Source organism: Homo sapiens, chromosome 15 (assembly GCF_000001405.40).
Source record: "Homo sapiens chromosome 15, GRCh38.p14 Primary Assembly".
Lineage (NCBI taxonomy): Eukaryota > Metazoa > Chordata > Mammalia > Primates > Hominidae > Homo > Homo sapiens.
This window is the reverse complement of record NC_000015.10, coordinates 50,169,126-50,184,286: the sequence shown is the minus strand read 5'-3', so window position 1 is coordinate 50,184,286 and position 15,161 is coordinate 50,169,126. Positions and strand designations below refer to the sequence as shown.

General features: G+C 44.1%; 2 protein-coding genes across 5 annotated transcripts in view, besides 2 other annotated features; one reads left to right on the top strand and one right to left on the bottom strand.

Moving 5' to 3' along the window:
* The window catches only part of SLC27A2 (solute carrier family 27 member 2), a 54,190-nt gene extending 52,099 nt beyond the window's left edge, over positions 1-2,091 (bottom strand). For both annotated transcript variants that reach the window (NM_003645.4, NM_001159629.2), the window contains exon 1: positions 1,382-2,091. In NM_003645.4, coding sequence (NP_003636.2) covers positions 1,382-1,859 — 478 coding nt within the window. In that variant the 5' untranslated portion in view covers positions 1,860-2,091. The remainder of the gene's footprint in view (positions 1-1,381) is intronic.
* Positions 1,490-1,589: a silencer, noted in NCBI's record as "silent region_6424". NCBI's record gives its function as "represses an Ori minimal core promoter by ATAC-STARR-seq in GM12878 lymphoblastoid cells {active_cell/tissue: GM12878}" and the evidence as "EXISTENCE:reporter gene assay evidence [ECO:0000049][PMID:35858748]".
* Positions 1,860-2,199: a silencer, noted in NCBI's record as "silent region_6423". NCBI's record gives its function as "represses an Ori minimal core promoter by ATAC-STARR-seq in GM12878 lymphoblastoid cells {active_cell/tissue: GM12878}" and the evidence as "EXISTENCE:reporter gene assay evidence [ECO:0000049][PMID:35858748]".
* Positions 2,433-15,161, top strand: part of ATP8B4 (ATPase phospholipid transporting 8B4 (putative)) — a 323,617-nt gene continuing 310,888 nt past the window's right edge. Inside the window, exon 1 of one of the 3 annotated variants that reach the window (XM_011522056.4) lies at positions 2,433-2,655. The gene's annotated coding sequence lies outside the window, so the exon portion shown is untranslated. The remainder of the gene's footprint in view (positions 2,656-15,161) is intronic. The other 2 variants (XM_047433096.1, XM_017022587.3) reach the window with 2 other exon arrangements.

The window sequence follows — 15,161 nt, the reverse complement described above, 5'->3', positions numbered from 1 at the left end:
GTGTGGTGGCTCACACCTGTAATCCCAGCACTTTGCGAGGCCAAGGTGGGTGGATCGCTTGATCTCAGGAGTTTGAGACCAGCCTGGGCAACATGGTGAAACCCTGTTTCTACCAAAAATAACAAAAAATTAGCTGGGCATGGTGGTGCATGCCTGTGGTCCCAGCTACTTGAGAGGCTGAGCTGGGAGGATCGCTTGAGCCTGGGAGGCAGAGGTTACAGTGAACTGAAATAGCGCCACTGCACTCCAGCCTGGGCAACAGAACGAGACTGTCAAAAAAAAAAAAAAAAAAGATGTAGGAAAGAGCATGGCTTCGAAGTTGGATAGAGCTAGGTTGGAATTTTAAGCCTCAGTTTTCTCAACTGTATAATGGTGGTGGTGGTGGTGGGGATAGTGATATGTTATCTCCCGGGGTAATAAAAGCATCTACTATAGGGCTTAGCACAGAAATGCATTCTAGAAAGCTGAGGCTCCTCGGCTCCCTCGACCCCTACCCTGTCACCCAGGTCTTTCAGCCCACTCCTGTGTAGGCCTCTTCTTACTGACTGAGAGAAGGAACCCTTGGTCCTTATTCAAGTGCAGAGACAAGCTCTCTGGGAGGGGAAAGCCATCAGCCCTGTGAGTAACAGGTTCTCTGTCACTTCCTGACCTTGTCATCACTTAAGTTACTGTTTCAAGTCTGGCTGAAATGTGGCAGGAGCTAACCACAGAACTGAAAGGGTCACTATTGTGATAGATGCAGTGGGGGCTCACAACGGTCCTGTAGCAGATCCCCAGTATCTTCTCCCTGGGGATCAGGTGGGGTCACCTTTGTTCTGCAGGGAGGGGACAGGATGCTAACAGCAGTTGAGAGCTGGAAGCAACATTGAAGCCTGCCTCATTAGAGAGGAGCAAACCAAGGGACAGAGAGGAGAAGTGACTTTCCCATGATCACACAGCCAGTCAAGCAGCAGAGGTGAGAAGAGCCCCTCTGGATCCACTAGAGTTCGCACTCAAGATCCTCTGCATTTTAATGCAGATGTTATAAGTATTGATTAAGAGCTTGGAATTTGGAGATAGATGGCTGGGCATGAGGCTTCACCTCTCAGGACCTCAGTGGTCTCATCTATAAAAGTCCTATAACAAAGCCTACCCATTGTGAGGATTAAAAACCACACTGCCTGTAGAGTGCTTAACACAGAACCTAGCACATTATCAGCTTCCACAACAGGTGGTCCTAAAAGATCATTATTTGCGATTCAAGGAAACACTGCCAACCTTTTTCTATACCTACAGTTCCGATCTGAACCTCCCTCTGCGAACCCCTTATGCCACGCTGTGGCTCGTCAGTCAAGGCGCCGAGAAGCCCTGGTGCCAGGGCAGGGCGATCCTCGGGGCTCACCTGGCGACACCAGCAGCACCTTCGCCCCGCAGCACTGGAAGCAGTGCAGCAGGGACTTCGCGCGGATGTTGTAATTGAGGCACGCCATGGCACAGCCCAGCTTCACCAGCCCCAGCCACAGCCACACGTAGGCCGGCTCGTTACCCATAAGGAGCGCCACGCAGTCTCCCTGGCGCAGGCCGAGGTGGTCGTGCAGCGCCCGGGCCACTTGATTGCTGCGCCGGTCCACCTGCGCGTAGGTGAGAGTCTCGTCGCGGAAGAGCAGAAAAGGCTTGTGTGGCGTCTGGCGCGCTTTCTCCAGGAACGCCCGCAGGATGGTGCGCGCCGGCCGCCGCTTCCCGTAGCTGCGCACCCTCCGGCCCACGGCGGCCACCTTCAAGAAGTAGCCTATGTCCTGGAAGAAGTATGGGCAGCAGAGGTTCACCAGGAGCGGCAGGAACAGCAGTCCCGCCAGGACTGTGTAGATGGCGGAAAGCATGACGGCTGCGGGGCCCTCTGTCCCAGCGAGGGCAGAGGGTTCACCCCGGGCGTGCAGCGCGGCGACTGGGCGGGCTCCGGGCGGACTGGCGGGCTGCGCCGGGGCGCACGCGGCGGGACGCCGGGCTCGCGTGAGATGAAGGGGAAGACAGAGCTCCTCCGCTGCAGGTACCGCCGCGGGCTCCGGAGCAGGTGTAGTCGTATGCGCGTTGCCGGGGGTTCCGGGCAGGACTGGCCGGCTGAGCCCGCCCCCTTGTGGGGGGCAGCCACCTGCTCTCCCGGCCCTCCCACGCGGTCCTCCCGGGGCTGGGCAGGCTGCCCTGCGGCTCACCAGGAGCCTCGGCCACTTCCCAGCTCGAGTCTGGAGGTCTGGGGTCAAGTCTGGACCTCCTCGCGTTGTGACCGAAGTACTTTACCTCTAGGAGCCACGGTTTCTTTAAATGGTGATGAGACGCGCTTAGCGGACGTTGGGAATATTAAAGGAGATATTGCAGGCGTGGGGCTATTATTTGTTACCACTAATAGAATGGCTTATGGAGATGACACTGTTATTACCGATAAAGTGCCTTATAAATGTCAGACAGTCCTATTATTTATTAATAGCGGGTACCAGGTGCCACTGCCAAACCAGAATCTCATCTCTCCTTCCTGGTCCCAAGGGCTTTCCGCCTGGTCTCTCTTTGTTTCTCAGATTTGCTTCCCAGCCCGACTGCCAGGCGGTCTCCTGTAGCGAAGGCTTCAAGGTTGAACAGAAATGCCTGTGGCAGTCACGTCCAGCTCATCCCAAGCCCTGCCAGGTGAGTGAGGGCAGGACACTCTAACCTAGTCGGCCCTGCCTGGTCGGGGGAGTCCTGATTTCGTGAAGAGCAGTGCTACACCGCACCACCTGAAATCAAGCTTTGACATTATTTTACGATTTTGTTCTGTTAAGTGATCCTGCTGTTCCCTCATGTTGAAAGTTGTCAAGTGTTGTCAGCACAGTTCACACATTTAATAAGTGGCTCTGTCAGAGAATAGTATAGTACAGAGGACATTGAGTAAGTGGTATTGGCATGACTCAAAAACCATTTCTTTTAGAGGAAATGTGAACCTTTCTTTTAATTTGCCTTAGTGCTACTTCTGTACGAAGTGAATGCTCACTACTTGCCACTGAGGAGGGTCAGGATCTAAGTAGTGTTTTATTTTCATCCTCTACTGTCCTCCTGTGTTCCTCTATCTTAATTTGATACGATAAATACAGATAATGCTTATTCCTCCCAGACACGCTGCTAGGAGCTTCCCTATGTTACATTTTGGGAGCCTGAGTTATTTTATACAGGTGGCACTTTCATGCTCATTTACAGACAAGAAAGGGAAGCTTAGGTGAATTGAGACAGCCGGTAAGTAATTCGTGGGTTTTGGAAATGGTATCTGTTTGGTCCCGGGGAACCAACTCTTAGCTTATTCTTAGTAACTATACTATGCTGTCCTCCTATTCTCTAGGTTTCTGTCCATGTCCTCTTTTTTTTTCGGTGTGTGTAAAACACACAAAAATGTTTCACATTCCCTCCAGGCCACCCCCTGCCGTTTTTTAGCCTCCTTTTCGTATCCCTAGTAACTGCGCAAGCAACCTTTCCCTTTTCCTGACTTTTTCATTTCTGATCCAGCTACCTGGTTGCATCATTTCCCTGGGGATGAGCTGGGGGCCTTCATCATCCCTGAGGAGAAAGCAGTAGAATTAACCAAAGTGAGGGCCCGACAGAAACCATTCTCATGTGCACTTCTTTCATGGTGAAGCTCAGAGCCAGCCCTTCCTTTTTCATCCCAATGCCACCCTCGTCCCTTGATGGCTAATCGCTTCTGTGTAGCCACCTGCACCCCTCTTCTCTTTTCCTTGAACAGCTACTGTCTACCCAGAGTGCTAGATTACCACAAGGGTCCACTTTTTCCCCTCTTATTCTGAGGATCACTTTAACCTCAGTTACAAGTAAAAGAAAACAAGACCCAAGCTAGCTGAAGCAGAAACAGGAATTTAAGTAGTAACTGGAGAGTCCGGGGCTAAGACATCAAGGATTTTAAATGCTGACACCTGGATCTAGTTTTGCTTTCACTATTTCTCCTCTGCACCTCCTCTGTTCTCATTCAGGCTCTCTGGTTTTTGTCCAAAGATGGCTGCCAACAGCCCTTAGGGGTACATGCTTTCTGGCTCAACTTCAGAGAGAAGTACAGGAATCTTTTTCTTAGGAGTTCTCATAAAAAAAAAAATCCCTGACTGGATTATGCGCCCATTTCTGAACCAATGTCTGTGGGTCCTGGGGAAAAAGGTGCTAGTTGTTTTAAGCCAATCAGCGCTCACCCATGGGGGTGAGAGTATAATCAATTTCACCTAGGCCATTTTGTGGAACGTTTTACGGTATTATTAAAAAGTGGGGTTAGGGAGAGTAAATTTGGGGAAGTAATTTTCAAATGTCTATAATATATACCTTGGGAGTCCCAGTGATTCCAGCTTTGAGCCTGGGATCCAGCTCTTGCTTTATCACGAGGTTAATAGATGTCTTAGTCTGTTTGGGCTGCTATAACAAAATACTGTAAGCTGGGTAGTTTATAAACAACAGAAATTTATTTCTCAGACTTCTGGAGGCAAGTCTAAGATCAAGGTGCCAGCAGATGTGGTGTTTGGTGAAGGGCTACTTTCTCACAGATGGTGCCTTCTCACTGTGTACTGTTTGGTAGAAGGGACAAATTACCTCTCTGGGGCCTGTTTTATGAGGGCACTAATCCCATTCATGAGGGCTCTGCCCTATGATCAAATTACTCCCCAAAGGCTCTACCTCCTAATACCATCACATTGAGGGTTAGGATTTCAATATATGAATTTTGTAGGGGACATGAACATTAAAACCACAGCAATAGTCTTCCTGGAAATATTGCTGCCATCTTATATCTCCACTGCTCAATTATCTTTAGTGGTTCCCCATTGCTTCCTATTGTCTTCCACCAATGACATCTATAGACAGTTGTACTTGTACAGCATACTAGAACATACCTGGCCTAGAGTTGACCAGATGCCCTGGCTTCTGCCTGACTCCTTTGAAAGGTGATCGATAGCTTAGCACGTTGGCTGCCCATTCTTGGTACATCTCTTGGGAACCTCTGGTCTATAAAATGAAATTTAAACTTTATTTTCTGGCTCTTCTGAATCTCACTCAAGCTTTCACTACACTCAATTGACAAATATTTATTGAGTTTCTGCTATGAACCAAACATTATTAGGTATTAAATATTTTAAAATGGACCAAAACTTAATTCTAACTGTTCCTTTTCAAGCGCACTTTGTTTTTAGCAAGTCTGGTCTGCACACTCCTAAAAATGCCCTGCACCTTCCTCTTTCTACTGGCTTGTTCTTACCACTTTCCACCCCTGACCATCCTAACCCTGTAAATCTCAACTCTCCTTTAGGGCAGTAGTTGTTTGATTCCTGAATTTCTTAGTCCCGTGTTATATTTCGAAACCAAGTTAGGGACTCAAAATAAGTAACGACTTCTTAATTTTTCTAGTAAGAACAACCCCCTCCCCCATCACAGTATATTTGTTATTTTATAGAAGAATGACATTTTTGGCACTAAAAAAGTATACCTGAACTGTACACTTAAAAATGGTTAAAATAGTTAATTTTTATGTTATGCATATTTTACCACAATTTTAAAGACAGTAACAATAAACATATAGCCCTTTCCAAGAAAAGACGAAGACAATGTTACACCAACACATAAAAAGTACAGAAATTATCCAAGTGTGGGGGCATGCACCTGTAATTCCAGCTACTCGGGAGACTGAGGCAGGAGGATCACTTGAGGCCAGGAGTTCAAGACTGGACTGGGCAACACAGTGAGACCCCATCTCATATGAAAAACAAAACAAAATAATCTTACAAATTCTCACAAACAGATAAAAATAAAAACATTAAAAATATTTTTGAATGTAGAAAACTGCAACTTTTGTCTGGGTTTTTATACCATATAGAAATTGTTTTTATACAAGTTTGTCTATTCAGTAACATAAATTCCACAGGGAAATATGAAATAGAGCCAGATCTTGGACTTTGATGTAATTTAGGATTTTGTCAGCACTGAGATCTCAGACATGGAGATTCTCCGTCCCCATAGGCTTAGTTAAGCCTCCTCATTCCACTTCTCCCATTCTCTGACATTACTGAGCCTATTCATTTCCTCTATCAAGATTTCGGTCCCTTCCTGGCCAGTCACTTCAACGTGGCCTCCTAGACCCCTCTTTTCCTTAAACTTTCTATCCAGGTATAGATGACCTCAAATGCCCACTGTCTTCTGTCCTATTCTAGGTATTGCAGGAGAAGTTTAGGGGCAAGACAGGATTACTGGGTGTGCATACTGACACCTTCTAGCCTTGGTCAGGACGTTCATCCCTATCATCTATCTCTGCTATTTGAGAGAAGGCTTCCTATTGGCAGTCCCAGACCTTCCCTACCCCCTTCAAAGTTTCCAATCCCAATCTCAAATGTTCTTTTAAAGCAGGTGGCGTCCCTTCCTACTTTATGGAGATGAAGTAGTTCACTATTTCTCAAACTTTACAAGTCTGAGAATCACCTGGGGAACATGCTAAAATATAGTTTATTAAGCCCCATCTCCAAAATTTCTGATTCAAAGAATTCACATCTCTAAGAAGTTACCAGGTATTGCTGACACTGCTAGTCCAGGGACTATACTTTGAGAACTACTGATTTAGTCCATTGGCTTCCAAACTACTCGGTAGAGCCCTAGTGGCTGAGAAGTTACTGAGGAGAGTTCATTGCATAGAGTGGGAAAGGGGCTCTGGGAGGATCCTACCCTAGCTCCAATCAAAACAGCTCATATACTTGTTTTACACTTCCATGTAGAGTTCATGTGAAAAAAAGTATTCCCAAACATTTTCCTTTAAATCTTCCAGCCCATGCTGATCCAGCCCTTGTACTGAACTTATAAACCCATCGCATAGGTGGGCTTTTGATTGTTTCTTACCTGTTAGTTTTGCCTTCGTAACTAGAATTCAATTTCCTGGAATGAAGTAATAGAAAAGATTGTGAGACTTGAAGCCAGAAGACCTGATTTTGAGTCTTTATCTGTCATGCATTGGCTGAGTAGCTTTGAGAAGTGTACTGAGCTCTCACAGTGACTTGTGTTAATTTTGTAGAATTTGAGGCACCTAATGCACAGGGCCATTCTTGACAAAAAAGTATAGATTATGAAGCTTGCAATTTTTGTGACATTACATACTTGGTACAAATAGAAATTTTGTGTGACTGACTCATTCAGTGGTTTGTGGGAAGAATAATCTCTGACTGTTGTTGCCATAAGTTAATCACATTTCTTGAAATGTGGGTGCCTGTCATCCTATTGACTGTCTAGCATGGTACCATTTGAGTATAGGCATACAGGATGTGCAGGTATTCAGCCAACAAAATGGCAAGGGTTTGATGGAGGTGGTATGTGATAAGATTGACCCTCTTTTTGGAGAATGAAAAAAAGGTGAGACTGAGAACAACTGATTATTGATATTAGACATGACAGAGCAGGAAACCCTTGCATTGGCATCCCAGTTGTGCTTGCTACACAGTCAGGACAATTTATAATTTGAGAAAAAGATGTTTGCCCTCTTTAGTTCTGACCAGAATGTCTTTGATTAGGTGTTGAATTCTAACTCAGGGAAAACTCCTGATGAAATCATCATTGTTTCTAGTGCTAATATGTGTGCTAATTCTCCAGATTTGGTTTGTATTTTTTCAACAGCTTTCTCTCTCTTCTTTCAATATCCCACTGCAACACACATACTCTCCATCCCAGTCACAATGTACTCTTTTTTGGATTTTATTATTTATTTTGTTTTTTATTTTTTAATTTAATTTAAAAAATATTTTATTTTTCCATAAGTTATTGGGGTACAGGTGGTATCTGGTTACATGAGCAAGTTCTTTAATGGTGATTTGTGAGATTTTGGTGCACCCATGACCTGAGCAGTATACACTGCACCAGATTTGTAGTCTTTTATCCCTTGCCCTCCTTCTACTCTTCCCAAGTCCCCAAAGTCCATTGTATTATTCTTATGCCTTTGCATCCTCACAGCTTAGCTCCCACATGTCAGTGAGAACATACGATGTTTGGCTTTCCAATTCTGAGTTGCATCACTTAGAATAATAGTCTCTAATCTCATTCAGGTCACTGCAAATGCTGTTAATTCATTCCTTTTTATGGTTGTGTAGTATTCCATTGTGTGTGTATATATACACAATGTTTATATATAGTGTATATATATATGCTGTGCAGTATATATATATACACACTATATATATACTCTGTGGTATATATATATATATACTCTGCGGTATATATATACACTCTCTCTATACTATGATATATATATACTGCGATACATATGTACACACTATATATATCACAGTATCTTTAACCACTCATTGATTGATGGGCATTTGGCTTGGTTCCATGATTTTGCAATTGTAAATTGTGCTGCTATAAACATGCGTGTGCAAGTATCTTTTTTGAGTAATGACTTCTTTTCCTTTGGGTAGATACCCAGCAGTGGGATTGCTGGATCAAATCGTAGTTCTACTTTTAGTTCTTTAAGGGATCGCCACACTGTTTTCCATAGTGGCTGTACTAGTTTACATTCCCACTAGCAGTGTAGAAGAGTTTCTTGTTTACCACATCCATGCCAACATCTACGGTTTTTTGATTTTTTAATTATGGCCATTCTTGCAGGAGTGAGGTGGTATCACATTGAAGTTTTGATTTGTATTTCCTTGATCATTAGTGATGTTGAGCATTTTTTAATATGCTTGTTGACCATTTGTATGTCTTCCTTTGAGAATTGTCTATTCATGTCCTTAGCCCCCTTGTCGATAGGATTGTTTGTTGTTTTCTTACTGATTAGATTCGTTGGTTAGTTTCTTCGTTTCTTACTGATTAGATTTGTTAGTTTCTTACTGGTTAGAGTTCGTTGTAGATTCTGGATATTAGTCCTTTGTCAGATGTATAGGTTGTAAAGATTTTCTCCCACTCTATGGATTGTCTATTTACTCTGCTGTTCCTTTTGCTTTGCAAAAGCTCTTTAGTTTAATCAGATCCCAGCTATTTATCTTTGTTTTTATTGCATTTGGTTTTGGGTTTTTGTTCATGAAATCCTTGCATAAGCCAATGTCTAGAGGGTTTTTCCAATGTTATGTTCTAGAATTTTTATAGTTTCAGGACTTAGGTTTAAGTCCTTAATCCATCTAGAGTTGATTTTTGCATAAGGTGAGAGATGAGGATCCAGTTTCATTCTTCTACATGTGGCTAGCCAATTGTCACAGGCACCATTTGTTGAAAAGGGTATCCTTTCCCCACTTTATGTTTTTGTTTGCTTTGTCAAAGATGAGTTGGCTGTAAATATTTGGGTTTATTTCTGGGTTATCTATTCTGTTCCATGAATCTATGTGCCTATTTTTATACCAGTACCATGCTGTTTTGGTGACTATAGCCTTATAGTATTGTTTGAAATCAGGTAGTGTGATGCCTCCAGATTTGTTCTTTTTGTTTAATCTTGCTTTGGCTATGTGGGCTCTTTTTTGGTTCCATATAAATTTTAGAATTGTTTTTTTTCTAATTCTGTGAAGATTGGTGGTATTCTGATGGGGATTGTCTTGAATTTGTAGATTGCTTTTGGCAGTATGGTCATTTTCACAATATTGATTCTACCTATCCATGAGCATGGGATGTGTTTCCATTTCTTTGTGTCATCTATGATTTCTTTCAGCAGTGTGTTGTAGTTTCCTTGTAGAGGTCTTTTGACTCCTTTGTTAGGTATGTTCCTAAGTTTTTTTTTTTTTTTTTGCAGTGATTGTAAAAGGGATCGAGTGCTTGATTTGATTCTCTGCTTGGTCGTTGTTGGTATGTAGAAGAGCTACTGATTTGTGTACGTTAATCTTGTATCTGGAAACTGTGCTGAATTCTTTTATCAGTTCTAGGAGCTTTCTAGGGGAGTCCTTAGTGTTTTCAAGGTAAATGATCCTATCGTCAGCAAACAGTGACAGTTTGCCTTCCTCTTTACCGATTTGGATGCTCTATATTTCTTTCTCTCGTCTGATTACTCTGGCTAGGACTTCCAGTACTATGCTGAAGAGGAGTGGTGACAGTGTGCATCCTTGTCTTGTTCCAGTTCTCAGAGGGAATGCTTTCAGCTTTTCCCCATTCAGTATTATGCTGGCTGTGGGTTTGTCATAGATGGCTTTTATTACATTGAGGTATGTCCCTTGTATGCCGATTTTGCTGAAAGTTTTAATCATAAAGAGATGCTGGATTTTGTTGAATGCTTTTTCTGCATCTATTGAGATGATCATGTGATTTTTGTTTTTAATTCTGTTTATGTCATGTGTGACATTTATTGGCTTGAGTACGTGAAACCATCCCTGCATCCCCGGTATGAAACCCACTTGATCATGGTGGATAATCTGTTTGATATGTTGTTGGATTTAGTTAGCTAGTATTTTGTTAAGGATTTTAGCATCTATGTTCATCCAGGATATCGGCCTATAGTTTTCTTCTTTTGGTTATGTCCTTTCCTGGTTTTGGTATTAGGGTGATGCTGGCTTCATAGAATGAATTAGGGAGGGTTCTTTCTTTATATTGTGGAATAGTGTTAAAAGGATTGCTACCAATTCTTTTTTTTTTAAATTTTTTTAGTATTTATTGATCATTTTTGGGTGTTTCTCGGAGAGGGGGATTTGGCAGGGTCATAGGACAATAGTGGAGGGAAGGTCAGCAGATAAACATGTGAACAAAGGTCTCTGGTTTTCCTAGGCAGAGGGCCCTGCCGCCTTCTGCCTTCCGCAGTGTTTATGTCCCTGGGTACTTGAGATTAGGGAGTGGTGATGACTCTTAACCAGTATGCTGCCTTCAAGCGTCTGTTTAACAAAGCACATCTTGCACCGCCCTTAATCCATTTAACCCTTAGTGGACACAGCACATGTTTCAGAGAGCACGGGGTTGGGGGTAAGGTTATAGATTAACAGCATCCCAAGGCAGAATAATTTTTCTTAGTACAGAACAAAATGGAGTCTCCTATGTCTACTTCTTTCTACACAGACACAGTAACAATCTGATTTCTCTTTCTTTTCCCCACATTTCCCCCTTTTCTGTTCGACAAAACCGCCATCGTCATCATGGCCTGTTCTCAATGAGCTGTTGGGTACACCTCCCAGACGGGGTGGCGGCCGGGCAGAGGGGCTCCTCACTTCCCAGACGGGGCGGCCGGGCAGAGGCGCCCCCCACCTCCCAGACGGGGCGGCGGCTGGGCGGGGGCTGCCCCCCACCTCCCGGATGGGGAGGCTGGCCGGGCGGAGGCTGCCCCCACCTCCCGGATGGGGGCTGCCCCCCACCTCCCGGACGGGGCGGCTGGCCGGGCGGGGGCTGCCCCCCACCTCCCGGATGGGGCGGCTGCCGGGCGGAGACGCTCCTCACTTCCCGGACGGGGCGGCTGCCGGACGGAGGGGCTCCTCACTTCTCAGACGGGGCGGCCGGTCAGAGACGCTCCTCACCTCCCAGACGGGGTGGTGGCGGGGCAGAGACACTCCTCATTTCCCAGACAGGGTCGCGGCCGGGCAGAGGCGCTCTTCACATCTCAGACGGGGCGGCGGGGCAGAGGCGCTCCCCACATCTCAGACGATGGGCAGCCAGGCAGAGACGCTCCTCACTTCCTAGATGGGATGACGGCCGGGAAGAGGAGCTCCTCACTTCCCAGACTGGGTGGCCGGGCAGAGGGGCTCCTCACATCCCAGACGATGGGCGGCCAGGCAGAGACACTCCTCACTTCCCAGATGGGGTGGCGGCCGGGCAGAGACTGCAATCTCAGCACCTTGGGAGGCCAAGGCAGGCGGCTGGGAGGTGGAGGTTGTAGCGAGCCGAGATCACGCCGGCTGCACTCCAGCCTGGGCAACATTGAGCACTGTGTGAGCGAGACTCCGTCTGCAATCCCGGCACCTCCGGAGGCCGAGGCTGGCAGATCACTCGCGGTCAGGAGCTGGAGACCAGCCCGGCCAAGAGGGGGAAACCCCGTCTCCACCAAAAAATACGAAAACCAGTCAGGCGTGGCGGCGCACGCCTGCAATCCCAGGCACTCGGCAGGCTGAGGCAGGAGAATCAGGCAGGGAGGTTGCAGTGAGCGGAGATGGCGGCAGTACAGTCCAGCCTCCGCTCGGCATCAGAGGGAGACTGTGCAAAGAGGGAGCGGGAGTGGGAGGGAGAGGGAGACCAATTCTTTTTTGAATGTCTGGTAGAATACTGCTGTGAATCCGTCTGGTCCTGGACTTTTTTTTCTTGGTAATTTTTAATTTACCATTTCAATCTCACTGTTCAGTGTATCTAATCCTTCCTGATTTAAGCTAGGAGGGTTGTATTTTTCCAGGAATGTATCCATCTCTTCTAGGTTTTCTAGTTTATGTGCATAAGGTGTTCATAGTAGCCTTGAATGACCTTTTGCATTTCAGTGGTGTCAGTTGTAATATCTCCTGTTTTGCTTCTTAGTGAGGTTATTTGGATTTTTTTTTCTTTTCTTTTTTTGGTTAATCTTCCTAATGGTCTGTCAATTTTATTTATCTTTTCAAAGAACCAGATTTTTGTTTCATGTATTCTTTGTATTTTTGTTTGTTTGTTTGTTTCAATTTCATTTAGTTCTGCTCTGATCTTGGTTATTTCATTTTTTCTGCTGGGGTTTGGATTTGGTTTGTTCTTGTTTCTCTAGTTCCTTGAGGTGTGATCTTAGATTGTCTGTTTATGCTCTTTCAGTCTTTTTGATGTAGGTGTTTAGGGGTATGAACTTTCCTCTTAGCACCGCCTTTGCTGAATCTCAGAGGTTTTGATAGTTTGTGTCATTATTATCATTCAGTTAGAAGAATTTTTAAATTTCCATCTTGATTTCGTTTTTACCCAAAGCTCATTCAGGATCAGGTTATTTAATTTCCATGTATTTGCATGGTTTTGAAGGTTCCTTTTGGAGTTGATTTCCAGTTTTATTCCACTGTGGTCTGAGAGAGTGCTTGATATAATTTCAATTTTTTTAAATTTATTGAGGCTTGTTTTATGGCATATCACATGGTCTATCTTGGAGGAAGTTCCTTGTGCTGTTGAATAGAGTGTATATTCTGTGGTTGTTGGATGAAATGTTCTGTATATATCTGTTAAGTCTGTTTGTTCCAAGGTATAGTATAAATTCATTGTTTATTGACTTTCTGTCTTGATGACCTGTCTAGTGCTGTCAGTGGAGTATTGAAGTCCCCCAGTATTATTGTGTTGCTGTCTATCTCATTTCTTAGGTCTGTTAGTAATTGTTTTATAAATTAGGGAGCTCTAGTGTTAGGTGCATATGTATTTAGGATTGTGATATTTTCCTGTTGAACAAGGCCTTTTACCATTCTATGCTGTCTCTCTTCATCTCTTTTAACCACTGTTGCTTTAAAGTTTGTTTTGTCTGATATAAGAATAGCTACACCTGCTCACTTTTTGTGTCCATTTGCATGAAACACCTCTTTCCACCCCATTACTGTAAGTTTATGTGAGTCCTTATGTGTTAGGTGAGTCTCCTGAAAGCAGCAGATAGTTGATTGGTAGGTTCTTATCCATTCTGTGGTTCTGTATCTTTTAAGTGGAGCATTTAGGCCATTCACCTTCAATGTTAATATTGAAATGTGAGATACCATTGCATTTATTGTGCTCTTTGTTGCCTGTGTACTTTGTTTTTTTTTGTTTTGTTTTGTTTTTGCTTTTTAACTTGTAGTTTTGTTTTATAAGTCCTGTGTGATTTATGCTTTAAAGAGGTTCTGTTTTGATGTGTTTCCAGGATTTGTTTCAAGATTTAGGGCTCCCTTTAGCAGTTCTTGTGGAGGGTGGGGGGGGTTTGGTAATGGTGAATTCTCTCAGCATTTGTTTGTCTGAAAACAACTGTATCTTTCCTTCATATATGATGCCTAGTTTTGCTGGACACAAAATTCTTGGCTGATAATTGTTTTGTTTGAGGAGTCTGAAGATAAGTCCCCAATCCTTTCTAGCTTGTAGGGTTTCTGCTGAGAAATCTGCTGTTAATCTGATAGGTTTTCCTTTATAGGCTACCTGGTGCTTCTGTCTCACAGCTCTTAGGATTCTTTTCTTCATCTTTGTATAACCTGATCACTGTGCCTAGGTGAAGATCTTTTTGTGATGAATTTCCCAGGTGTTCTTTGTGCTTCTCATATTTACATGTCTAGGTCTCTAACAAGGCTGGGGAAGTTTTCCTCAATTATTCCCCCAAATATATTTTCCAGGCTTTTAGAATTCTCTTCTTCCTCAGGTACACTGATGAGTTTTAGGTTTGGTCATTTAACATAATCCCAGACTCTTGGAGGCTTTGTTTATATTGTCTTAATCTTTTTCTTTTTCTTTGTTGTATTGGGTTAATTCGAAGACCATGTCTTTGAGCTCTGAATTTCTTTTTCTTTCTTGTTCACTTCTATTGCTGAGACTTTCCAGAGCATTTCACATTTCTAAAAGTATGTCCAAACTTTCCTGAATATTTGATTGTTTTTTCTTTAAGCTATCTATTTCTATAAATAATTCTCCCTTCACTTCTTGTATCATTTTTTGAATTTCCATGCATTGGGCTTTGTCTTTCTCTGGTCCCTCCCAGATTAGCTTAATAACTAACCTCCTGAATTATTTTTCAGGCAAATCAGGGATTTCTTCTTGGTTTGGATTCATTGCTGGTGAACTAGTGTGATCTTTTGGGGATGTTGACGAGCCTTGGTTTGTCATATTACCAGGGTTGGTTTTCTGATTCCTTCTCATTTGGGTAGGCTCTGTCAGAGGGAAGGTCTAGGGCTGAAGGGTGTTGTTCAGAATTTTTTGTCCCACAGGGTGTTCCCTTGATATAGTACTCTCCCCTTTTCCTATGGATGTGGCTCCTGTGAGCTGAACTGCAGTGATTGTTTTCTGTCTTCTGGGTCTCACCACCCAGTGAGTCTACCTGACTCCGGGCTGGTACTGGTGGTTGTCCACACAGAGTCCTGTGATGTGAACCGTCTATGGGTCTCTCAGCCGTGAATACCAGCACCTGTTCTAGTGGAGGTGGTGGAGGCTGCAATGGACTCCATGAGTGTCCTTAGCTTTGGTGGTTTAGTACTCTATTTTTGTGCTGGTTGGCGTTTTGCCAGGAGGTGGCACTTTCCAGGAAGCATCAGCTGTAGTAGTGTGGAGACGGACTGGTGGTGGGCAGGGCCCTAGAACTCCCAAGA